General features: G+C 40.3%; 1 protein-coding gene across 2 annotated transcripts in view, besides 1 other annotated feature; it reads right to left on the reverse strand.

Moving 5' to 3' along the window:
* The window catches only part of PKD1L1 (polycystin 1 like 1, transient receptor potential channel interacting), a 186,293-nt gene that overhangs the window by 7,177 nt on the left and 166,473 nt on the right, over positions 1 to 12,643 (reverse strand). The window contains exons 57-58 of one of the 2 annotated variants that reach the window (XM_017011798.3): positions 10,837 to 11,007; positions 5,547 to 5,582 (exon numbers count right to left, since the gene is read on the reverse strand). In XM_017011798.3, the coding sequence (XP_016867287.1) occupies positions 5,547 to 5,582; positions 10,837 to 11,007 (207 nt within the window). The remainder of the gene's footprint in view (positions 1 to 5,546; positions 5,583 to 10,836; positions 11,008 to 12,643) is intronic. The other variant, NM_138295.5, reaches the window with a different exon arrangement.
* Positions 4,921 to 5,215: a silencer, noted in NCBI's record as "tiled region #14324; K562 Repressive non-DNase unmatched - State 24:Quies". NCBI's record gives its function as "represses a minimal TATA promoter and a strong SV40 promoter by Sharpr-MPRA in K562 cells {active_cell/tissue: K562}" and the evidence as "EXISTENCE:reporter gene assay evidence [ECO:0000049][PMID:27701403]".

The following is a 12,643-nucleotide window of genomic DNA, read 5'->3' on the forward strand; positions in this document are numbered from 1 at the left end:
TTTGCATAAAACATTGTTCATGATCCATTTTGAATTATTTTTGTATATGGTATGAGGTATAGGTACAAGTTCTTTTTGTTTTCTTTTGCTTTTGGATGTTCAATTGCATCGGTAACATTGTCAAAAATGCTATTCTTCCTTCAATGAATTGCTTCAGCACCTTTGTCAAGATGAGTTTGGCATATTTGTGTGAGTCCATTCTGGGATCTCTATTCCTGGGATCTATTCTGTTCCAAGGATCTTTGTCTCTTCCCCTCTGTCAGGACCACATGGTGTTGATTGCTGTGGCTGCATAGTATAGTATAACCACCTTCTGTGCAAGGCATCCAGTTCCTCCCCTCTCCACTCTGACCCACCATCCAATAAACCAGCTGTCTATGAGAGTTATAAATAATGTCACCTGCAGATTTTGAAAAAAGATGCTCAACTTCTGCAGGGTGCAGGGTGTTGTAGGTCCTTCAAAGGTCAGTGCATATTTCTAAACTTTAATAATTACATTTCCTTACTCCTGCCTGGCAACAGGACAAGGATGTTGGTCAAAAAAAAACCACAGTAACTTATGAAAGTAGAGACTGCAAGGAGGCCCTGGCAAGCACAAATCTCTGGAAAATTATTCAACTCAGGACAACTGCAGCAGAAAACTTTCCTAAGGTCTCTACTTTTTCAAGGACAAGGGCTAGTATTTCAGTAATACTTAAATTGATTATAAACTAGCAAGAGAAGCCAGGAAGAAGGTCACCATGAGAAAAGAGTTCCTCCCTACAGTCCCAGAGATTTGTATAACCTCATTCTATATTTACTTGAATTCTGAAGATCAGATAGAATAAATCTCCACACTGGTGTAGTGAATGATGACATTGGTACACCCATGTGTGCTAGCTGTAACTTGGACCCTCTGTCTTCCCCTCAAGAAAAGTCTACTGGGATAGTGGTTGAGTGAACATGGCTTTGAATAGGGAAACCCTTGAATCTGCTCTAATTTTTCTTCTCCTTGGTCCTACTTAAAATCAATTAATTGTCAAGCCTTTCAACTATATGTTGAGTAATAAATTATTCAAGACATAGTTAAGAGTGCAAAACCAGTGGGAACTGCTGTACTAGATTTTACCAAAGATAGACACTCACTCCCAAACCGCTGGGGAAATGGATTCGATCTTTACTAAAGGTGTTGTGCTGGTGACATGGATGAGGTATGTCTTTGGGGATTCTTACGTGATTTTATCCCTTGAGAATGAGTCACTTACCTGAGGAGGAGGCAACAGGAGCTCCTGACCTCAGAGGCTCTCCTACATTCCTGCGTTCTGTAACTTAGAAAGCCATTGGGAGTATACATTGATAGCTATATGGTATTTTAGGGAAGACTCAATGGCATTTCTATTTAAAAGTATTATTTAAAATAGCAAAAAAAATCATCTTTTGTTATTACTTGATCTTTTCCACAGTCAAATACTCAGATAATCTACTTGTTTTATAATTTTAATGATAATCAACATGTACTAACATACAAACATCATTCTTATAAAAGCATTTATAAATTAAGATCTACACAGAGTAAAAAAGAAGAGTTTGCTAATTTTTTGAGTATTTTGTTTTAGTTTTGTCAGATTAGTGAAACTAAATTTTTCAAAAAGCTAGAATTAATGGAAAACTATAATACTTTCTTCAAATATTTACATTTGCTTAAATGTATTTGTTTTGGGTTGAATTGTTCTTCCTCCAGAACAAAAAAGGCACTGGTGGATGTGACCTTATTTTGCTGATGATCAAGCTAAGATAAGGTAATTAGGGTCGGTCCTAATCCAATATGATTGTGTTATAAAAAGAGAAAATTTGGACACCCAGGGAGAATGCCCTGTAAAAAAGAGAACTACACTGCCACAAGCCAAGGAGCTAAGGGAAGCTGGAGAGATGCCTGGAACAGATCCTTCACCAGGGCCTTCAGAGGGAGCGTGGCCCTGCTGACACCCTGACCTTGGACTTCTGGCCTCCAGACTACAAGAGAATAAATTTCTGTTTGTGGCACTTTGTCATGGCAGCCCTAGCAAACTAATGCAGTATTTTACATATTCTTTTGGGAAATAATTGTAGTTTGCAAGACTCCAATTGAAATAGAAACCTCAAAAAGAAGCCAGCCGACAGTGTATTTTAGTCCTTGAGAATTCAACTTTCTTGAACCCTGCTAGGAGACAATTTGGCCCAAGTAAATAAATTATGTGTTCACAGTCATACAGAAGCCCTGGTTTATATCCTTAGTGCCTCGAGTGCCATTCTAGCACACATCTAAATAAAAGGGATTAACAATAATATTTCAACTTCATTGGAGCTATGTCTGCCAGGAAGGAATGAATCAGCAGCCACAAAAACATTCCTGCTTGTGAAGTCATCCCGGGAAGACTTAGTATAATCCATGAAAGCAGAGAGAATTCATTTCAGAAGGCTGTCTGCTTCAACATTTCTCTTTAGGTTTTAAGTTATTCCCACTTCCAATATATTAAGTATTTGTAAGCCATATCTAGTTCTTTTAAATTTAATTAGCTTTTCTTGTGATGTCCATCATGGGAAAAATTCCAAGACATACTTAGAAACATAGAAAAGCTTAGAAAAAATAAGAACCATTAAAACAAATCATATCTCACAACTATGACCCTATCATTTTGTCATCTCTTTACTTGAGTAATACAATAGCTTCTTTTTTTTTTGAGACGGAGTTTCACTCTTGTTGCCCAAGCTAGAGTGCAATGGTGCTATCTCGGCTCACTGCAACCTCCATCTCCCAGGCTCAAGCAATTCTCCTGCCTCAGCCTCCCAAGTAGCTGGGATTACAGGCGCCCACCATTATGCCCGCTAATTTTTTGTATTTTTAGTAGAAACGGGGTTTCACCATGTTGGCCAGGCTGGTCTCGAACTCCTTACCTCAGGTGATCCGCCCATCTCAGCCTCCCAAAGTGCTGGGATTACAGACATGAGCCACTGCGCCCAACCCACAATAGCTTCTTTTTAAAAGCGTTTCACTTGGAAATAATTTTAAACTTAATAAGAAAGTTACAAGAGTAATTCAGAAGTACTCAGCTACCCTTTCCAGAGCCACCTATTAGCATTTTCCCATGCTTGCTTTATTAGTTGCCCTTTTCTATCCATATACATCACCCACCACTTCTTTTTGCTCAATAACCAGTTCACTAAATATTTACTGAGTGCTGGTCTCTGTGGAAGCCACAGTGGTGGAGAGAAAGTCATGAGAACTCAGCTAGCAAGGGCAGAACCAGGATGTGAGAGCAGGTGAGAATGATCATTTTTAGTTAAGTCTAGGAATATACTGGTCCTTAACATGCTGAATGAAGTCTGGGAACTATGGGGTGCATTCTTCCTGAGCATACCTCATTTGAACTTGATGTTTGCATCCTTACCGACCCCTCTCGGCTTCACATGAAGAAACACATCATAACATAGGTCCAAGTGGATACAAAAGTTGCTCAGGTTTTTGTCCATAATTTTGAGATTTGTACTTTCCAAGTTCCAGGAATATAATGTTTTCTGAGTGGACATAGTTCACTTTCAAGTCAATGTTGTTCATCTTTGGATCCCCAGCCTCTAGAATTGTGCCTGGCACAAAAATACTTGAGGAATGCATGAAACGTGAAAGTGTTAATAGTCTCTATTAAAGCTATAGACAGCACTTACAGCATGCAGACACGAACTCCTTTAACTCCTTTACCTCTCTCAGTGGTCTCATGGGAGAGGCTCTACTACTGTCCTCCTTTTACAGAGTAGGATGTAAAGACACCAAGAAGTTAAGTCGCTTTCCTACAGTCACCCAGCCAGTAGTTAAAACTGAATCACTCCACAGTTGCTCAACCCTCAGACCTGCCTGACCTCCATGTTTATCAGCAGGAGTTGGGGCATCTCTAGGGCATCATACTTTCTGCATGTTCAGGCCGAGTTGATATTTCTTTCTTTTTTTTTTTTTTTGAGACAGAGTCTCACTCTGTCGCCCAGGCTGGAGTGCAGTGGTGCAATCTCGGCTCACTGCAACCTCTGCCTCCCGGGTTCAAGCAATTCTCCTGCCTCAGCCTCCTGAGTAGCTGGGATTATAGGCGCCCATCACCACAGCCGGCTAATTTTTGTATTTTTAGGAGGCACGGGGTTTCACTACGTTGACCAAGCTGGTCTCGAACTCCTTACCTCAAGTGATCCACCTGCCTCGGCCTCCCAAAGTTCTGGAATTACAGGTGTGAGGCACCATGCCTGGCCAATATTTCATTTTAAAAAGCCCCTTCTAGCCTGTTTCTTCCTCAAGGATTCAAACTTAGTGTTCAGATACATTGCATCATCTGTTAGAAAATACCAAAGTCAATGAAGATTCAGTAAGTTTACAGAACCTAACTATAACTACAAAAACTTCTAGATTTGAGGGAACTCAGTAAATTTCTTTGACAGTCACCTGTGACGGGGGCTACGTAAACGCATTGGGAAAAGCTAAGTATTCTAAATCTTCTCATTATTTTACAAACTGGCAAGTTAAAGGAAGAAGCTGAGAGAAAATTCACCCTCTTGATGGCTTCCTGCTCCTAAGTAACACTGACCAGCAGAGTTCAGAGCACAAACCTTGCTGAAAAGAGTGGCTGTGGACTGTGGCACGCCAGTCTTCACAGATTGTGTTGGGGACCCCAAATGTGAAAGGGAATGCAGATTTTCCACAGTTATAAAAACCATCTCACCTTCCTCCTGGCAGGTAGGTGCTAAGGAATTACACTGAAAAAAATAAAGGCAAAAATCCTCTAGGAGAGACTCTGTGCCCTGAGGTCAGGCGCTCCCCTCTGGATGTTCCTGCCTTACGCAATGGTATTCACAAAAGCAAATCAAGAGGAAAATATGTGGAGGAAAAACCCTTCTGACATCTCTAAATTGCATCCACTGACTAGTGGCCTAGCCAGCTCCTGCAAAGTGGTGAGTCATCGCAGTAGAGAAGAGGCCCGAGCAAGGAGCAGGGCAAGAGCTCGGAGGTCCTTCTGCCCAATCAGCAGCAGCCCCCGGCTGGGAGGTCTCTTCGGGGTCCAAGGCTACATAGCTGAGAGGCCACAGAGTGCCAAGAACCGTTAAGGGGGCCGAGCTGGCAAGGGGGAGAAGGTGGGGGCTGGCAACTCACCGCATTTTGTTGCCATGAGTCACTTTAAAAATACAAAGAACAATATGATTTGTAGGTGGTTATTGATAGCTCCAGGCATCCAATCCTTCTAGTTTATAAAGATACAAATCTTAATTATTAATGGTTAAGATGAAGAAACAAATAAATGCCTTGAAGTTAGGAAATTCAAACGAATTGTTTCCTCAGATCCCCTCACACAAAAAAGGGTCTGTTCTGTAAAGTCCAGCTTGCTTGGCCTATTCCAAGACCAATGACATTCCTGGTTCTTTCCCAGGGAGGCCAGCTAAACTCATGTTGCAGAAACTTGAGTTCTGCAGGCAGAAACCCACCTGGGAGCCAGGTGAGAGAGACCCACCCTTGGCAGCATTAACTTTTTGCCAAACATACTTTTGATAAATACCTCATAAAGTGATAGTCCAGAAAGCGTTGTGTTTTCCTGTGGAATGAAACCAAAGTTATGATTGCATTGTTGCTGAAAACGTCCCACTCATACACAAGAAAAGTAAGTCATAAGGGCAAAGACAGCACCTACAAGCCTCCACCATCATTTGAGGGAAATTCTTTTCTCAGCCATAGGAAATTAGTATAGATTACTATGTGTTGTAACTGTATAAGGACTCACAATAGTGTGTGTTGTGTATATAAAGGACTGCTCAACCATATTATAAATTTAAAGTTCTTGCTAGTTATATGAGCTATAAAATATATAAACAAATTAAGCGGGTTTAAAGGAAAGAGATGAGCCATACGCCTTTAAAATGCTGTGGTGGGACTTTGTTTTCATTTGCTTTTTGAGACAGGTTTTCACTCTGTTTCCCAGGCTGGAGTGCAGTGGCATAATCATGGCTCACTGCAGCCTTGACCTCCTGAGCTCAAGTGATCCTCCCACCTCAGCCTTCCAAGTAGCTGGGACTAGAGGTGTGTGCCACCACACCTGGCTAATTTTGTATTTTTTGTACAGACAAGATCTCATCATGTTGCCCAGACTGGTCGCGAACTCCTGGGCTCAAGTGATCCTCTAGCCTCGGACTCCTAAAGTGCTTGTATTGTAGGCGGGAGCCACTGTGTCCGGCCTGTTGTAGGACTTTTGAACTGACAATCTTTTTGTCCTTAACCTTAGTAGTAAAGGCTCTGATGTTGTATTATTAAATATAATACTGACATTTAACTTGAGCTATATTCCTATTTTTTTTAAAAATATCGATTTCATTTTTATTAAGAATATGTTTTAATACTTAGGAATGAATGTTGAATTTTATCAAATGCAGCCATGGAAAAAATAAAATGATAGCTTCCTCCCTGTTTGGTGAAGGTTATTAATATATTCTTTTTTTATTTATTATTTCATTTATTTTTATTTTATTCATATATTTTTATTTTATTTATTCTATTGCCCAGGCTGGAAATGCAGTGGTGCGATCTCTGCTCACTGCAACCTCCACCTTCCAGGTTCAAGAGATTCTCGTGCCTCAGCCTCCTGAGTAGTGGGGATTACAGGTGTGCACCATGCCGGGTTAATTTTTGTTGGCCAGGCTGGTCTCAAACTCCTGGCCTCAAGTGATCCACCTGCCTTGGCCTCCCAAAGTGCTGGGATTACAGGTGTGAGCCACCACACCCAGCCCAGTTATATATATATATATATTTTTTTTTTTTAATTTTAATTTTAATTTTTTTTTTGAGATGGAGTTTCTTTCTGTTGCCTAGGCTGGAGTGCAGTGGTGCAATCTCGGCTCACAGCAATCTCCGCCTCCCAGGTTCAAGCCATTCTCCTGCCTCAGCCTTCCAAGTAGCTGGGAATACAGGTGCCCGCCACCACACCCGGCTAATTTGTTTTGTATTTTTAGTAGAGATGGGTTTTCACCGTGTGAGCCAGGATGGTCTCGATCTCCTGACCTCATGATCCGCCCACCTTGGCCTCCCGAAGTGCTGGGATTTCAGGTGTAAGCCACCGTGCTTGGCCTATTAATAAATTTTTAATATTAAAACATTTGTATCCTGATTTAATACTCATATGATCATGGGATATAATTTTCTTAATCTGCTGCTGGATTCTATTTGTTAATGTTTTATTTAGATTTTTGGTATCAAAAATCAATAAGACTGACATGTAGTTTTATTTTTAATTTGGAATATTTTTGTCCAGTTTTTAGATCAATAAATTGCTTGTTTCATAAAAACACATTCGGAAGCTTTTCTTCTGTCTCTGCTGTGGCACAGTTTGAAGGTCGTTCTGGACTTACATGCTTCTTAATAGTTTGGTGTATTTTCTCTGTGAAACCATCTGGGACTGGTGCTTTTGGAGGGATAGAACTTCAAATACTGTTTCAGATTTCTGTCTCTACTCAAGTCAGTTTGTTGCATAATAAACAATGATAACTGTTCTCTCCTTCCAAAATTTTATAATTTATTTAATTTCCTAAAGGTTATTTTCTGTTTCTCATTTTTATTTTGTATATGAATTGTACTCACTTTGTTCATCATATTTAGATACATTAGCCAATAATTTGTCAATTTAATTGTTCGTAAAAAGATTCATCTCTTGGATTACTTCATTTTGCTGTTGATTTCATTAAATTATACTTTCATTCTTTCAACTTCTTTCCTTCTGTTTTGCTTAGTGTGTGTGTCTGTGTGTATATTTGTGTGTGTTGTGAATTTTTCCTATTTGAGCTGAACACACACTTAGTTTACTTTTATTTGTTGTTGCTCCACTTTATATACCATGGGATTTCGTCTGTCAGTGCTTTCTGCTAAGCACTAATTAGCAGTATATATTGTCCTTTGTTTTAATCCCATCATTCAAAAATAACAATATATACCTTATGGTTTAAATATAAATACATACAATTATCTTTCTTCTAAAATTTTCAATTAAATTCTTTCATTTTTATGTTACAAATATAGTAAATACTATCCATTTTTTCTCCTCTGTATAAATCCTCTATTTTATTTTATTTATTATTTATTTTTGAGGCAGAGTCTCACTCTGTTGCCCAGGCTGGAGTGCAGTGGTGTGATCTCGGCTCACCGCAACCTCTGCCTCCCAGGTTCAAGCAATTCTCTTGCCTCAGCCTCCCGAGTAGCTGGGACTACAGCCGCGTGCCATGACGCCCAGCTAATTTTTTTGTATTTTTAGTAGAGACGGAGTTTCACTGTGTTAGCCAGGATGGTCTCGATCTCCTGACCTTGTGATCCGCCCACCTAGGCCTCCCGAAGTGCTATGATTACGGGCGTGAGCCACTGCGCCTGACCCAATTTTATTTTATTTTTTACAAAATTGGTCATTATATTTTCTTTTCTTAAAAATTATGTTTTTCCTATCATTTGCCCAATTTTCATATGCACATTTAAACAGTTTTTTATGATTAAAACAATAATAATAATTGCTAAATAAATAATTTTTTTTTTTTTGAGATGGAGTCTCATTCTGTCACCCAGGCTGGAGGTGCAGTGGCACAATCTCGGCTCACTGCAAGCTCTACCTCCTGGGTTCACGCTATTCTCCTGCCTCAGCCTCCCGAGTAGCTGGGACTACAGGCGCCCGCCACCATACTCGGCTAATTTTTTTGTATTTTTAGTAGAGACAGGGTTTCACTGTGTTAGCCAGGATGGTCTTGATCTCCTGACCTCGTGATCCGCCCACCTCGGCCTCCCAAAGTGCTGGGATTACAGGCGTGAGTCACCGCACCGGGCCATAACTTAAATAATTTTAACTCACTTGGAGATGACTTGATTTTCAGGGGTAGGAGGTATCTAGGTGTCAGTAGGATTATCTTTTTTTAAGTCCAGCGACTTTATTAGTGTGTGTTTTATTTTTTATTTTTATTTTTTCTGTTTTCTGTTTTTTTTTTTGAGACGTGGTCTCACTCTGTCACCTAGGCTGGATCACCCCTCACTGCAGCTTCTACCTCCTGGACCCCAGTAATCTTTCCGTCTCAGCCTCCTGAGTAACTGGGACCACAGGTTTTGTTTTTTTCTTTGGAGAGATAGGGCTTCACTATATTGCTCAGGCTGGTCTTGAACTCCTGGGCTCAAGTGATCCTCCTGCCTTGGCCTCCCAGATGCTGGGATTATAGGCATGAGCCACTACACCCACCCATGTTCTAGTTTTAATAGATGTGAATCCATTTCTTCCCTGGGACACAGTTCTTTTTTAAATATATAGGTGTATATCTCTTTTCCAGTAAAGTCTTTTAAAATTATATTTTAAAATATTTTTTTCTGTTCAAATTTTCTGGGCTTTTTTAGGGGAGACACTAATTATAGATACCCTTTCCGTGTCTTACGCACATTCTTCCTGGTCTGATTTCCATGTGTATTACTTTTCCTAAAATCAATTTTAACTTTTTTTCTCTTGCAGAATTTTCCCAAATATGTCATCCATATAGTTTATTCTCTTTTCTGTGAATCTATTTGCTTTATTTTTTTCTTTTCCATTTCTTTCCTCAACTCTGTTAATTCACTGTCTTTTTATTTCATCTTGGAGTTCTTTCATCTTGGCTTCAAACTGTCATTTCAAAGAGACATTTTTTTTTTTTTTTCATTAACTTAACCTTTGTGTGGAGAACATCTCGGTTACAATTTTTACCTGTTGATGGCAATTGTTTTCAAAGTTATACCCTTCATCTTCACTTTTGGTCATTTTTACATACTGCTTTTTCCTGAAGCAGATTTGCATAGATGCAATAATTATTTGCTTTTATTATTTCTACTCCTCTCTACATGTGGAAGTTCAACTTTTCATAAACGGTGTTCTTCCCTGGGTTGTTGTGAATTAGGGCCCGGGAAGGGCTGGGGCAGAGAGCTTATAGCAGGTACTTCATGTTCTCCTCTGCCTTCAGAGAGCTCCTTCATTGCCACTCAGTCATGTGAACATGACAGCTCTGGGCCAGCAGAGTATCTCTCTGGATCTCAGGGAAGTTACCACTGGAAGCTATTTATCTTTGGGGCATGGCACTCATCCTTCTTTTTCACTGTGTACCTGGCACATGGTGTGTCTATTGGTGTTGATTTTTCTATAGTTTGCAAGTAGTGTGACTCTAGGTCTGTGAACCACCAATAGTTCCTCCCCTAGGCAGCCACATCAACAAACAGCTTCCTACAAAGACGGCTTCCTGCACGTTTTGTCCTTCAGTCCTATGTCCCAGGAACTCTGTGGCATTAGGTCTCAGGGAGATTCCTTAAACTCTTTAGTGCTCTATAATCTATTCGTCCAAACCAGGGGCCTTTGTTGGCTCCTCCAGATACACTGTCTAACTTGGAGAATTCTGTGTGCTCTTGGAAATGGTAGCATCCTTTCTCCTTTTGGTCTAAGTTTTACTGTTCTTGGCATCCATTCTTGAGATTACTGGTCACATTCTGGGCCATAGATTTCTGGGTTTTTTTTTGTTTCTGGGAAGATCGAGTTTCCATTTCTGTTTCTCAGTCTCCTTGTTGATTTCAGTTGTAATCAGAAATAAGGGGCAGACAGATACTTATGCTACCATTTTCAACTGGAAGTCACATCATGGACTTTAAATTTTTAAGTGGTTCTTTAGTTCTGGCCAGAGCATATCTTATCAGCAGTATGATATCTAAAGAATATTTATGCAAATGGACCTTATAATTTGGAAAAACAACTATTCCAAAACTCCTTTAGAACTTAAATTGCTATGAAGAAAATTGACATAAATAATTTTGCATGGTCTTACCTCAGCAGCTTGGTAACTAGAAATGTCCACTAAGGGACTCTCTTCTGTCCTTGCCTCCCCTGTGTTGTTGGATGTTTTTTCCAGAAGGGGGAGTTGTAGGCTGTCGGACAAACCATTAATCTTCATCAGAAGTTCGTCTAACAGATTTGCAAATTCATCCAAGTAGTAATTCTGAAGGGAAGAAAATTAGATTAGTAAATGCATTCAAGAATCTCATTATCCCCCTTTCCTCATTATGTGAAGCATTTAGGGGTATCATCTGTAGACAGTATTGGGCTATGTTAGGAAACATACTGACTCTGCCTGCAGTTAGAAGACCTGGGTGCTGGGCCTACTCTTACATCTCTATATCTCAGTTGCTTCAATAATAATGTACGTATACAGATATACATGTAAATGCTACAGTTAATAATGCCTACATAAAAAAAACTATTGAATGGATTTAAAGGCAGTAATGCATCATGCTGCTATGGGAAAATAAGGTCATTCTTTCATCCCTTCGATTAATAAATCTTTATTGAGCACTATTAAAAAAATAAGGCAATAATGGATGGGGAAGCACATGACAGAGAATAAAGCCCTATCAAAATGTACAGTACCGTGATTACATATGACTGCCTTCAGAACCTTACTGGATGATGCTTAAATATCACCTGATATGGTTTGGTTGTGTCCCCATTCAAATCTCAACTTGAATTGTATCTCCCAGAATTCCTGTGTTGTGGGAGGGACCTGGGGGGAGGTAATTGAATCATGGGGGCTGGTCTTTCCCGTGCTATTCTTGTGATAGTGAATAAGATCTCATGAGATCTGATGGCTTATCAGGTGTTTCCGCTTTTGCATCTTGCTCATTTTTCTCTTGCCACTGCCACGTAAGATGTGCCTTTCACCTCTCGCCATGATTCTGAGGCCTCCCCAGCCATGTGGAACTGTAAGTCCAATTAAATATCTTTTTGTCCCCAGTTTCAGTTATATCTTTATCAGCAGCTTGAAAATGAACTAAAACAGTAAATTGGTACCAGTAGAGTGGGGTGTTGCTGAAAAGATACCCAAAAATGTGAAAGTGACTTTGGAACTTGATAACAGGCAGAGGTTGGAACAGTTTGGAGGGCTCAGAAGAAGACAGGAAAATGTGGGAAAGTTTGGAACCTCCTAGAGACTTGTGGAATGACTCTGACAAAAATGCTGATAGTGATATGAAAAATAAAGTCCAGGCTGAGGTGGTCTCAGATGGAGATAAGGAACTTGTTGGGAACTGGAGCAAAGGTGACTCCTGTTATGTTTTAGCAAGAGACTGGCAGCATTTTGCCCCACCCTAGAGATTTGTGGAACTTAGAACTTGAGAGAGATGATTTTTAGGGTATCTGGCAGAAGAAATTTCTAAGCAGCAAAGCATTCAAAAGGTGACTTGGGTGCTGTTAAAAGCATTCCGTTTTAAATGGGAAATGGAACATAAAAGTTAAAGAAATTTGCAGCCTGACAATGCAGTGGAAAAGAAAAACTCATTTTCTGGGGAGAAGTTCAAGCCAGCTGCAGAAATTTGCATAAGTAGCAAGCAGCCTAATGTTAATCCCCAAGGCCATGGGGAAAATGTCGCCAAGTCATGTCAGAGACCTTCACAGCAGCCTCTCCCATCATAGGCCTGGATGCCAAGGAGGAATAAGTGGTTTAGTGGACTGGGCCCAGGTTCCCCGTGCTGTGTGCAGCCTAGAGACTTGGTGCCCTGTGTCCCAGTTGCTCCAGCCATGGCCGAAAGGGGCCATTGTACAACTTGGGCTGGGGCTTCAGAGAGTGGAACCCCCAAGCC

The sequence above is a fragment of the Homo sapiens genome, chromosome 7 (assembly GCF_000001405.40).
Source record: "Homo sapiens chromosome 7, GRCh38.p14 Primary Assembly".
Lineage (NCBI taxonomy): Eukaryota > Metazoa > Chordata > Mammalia > Primates > Hominidae > Homo > Homo sapiens.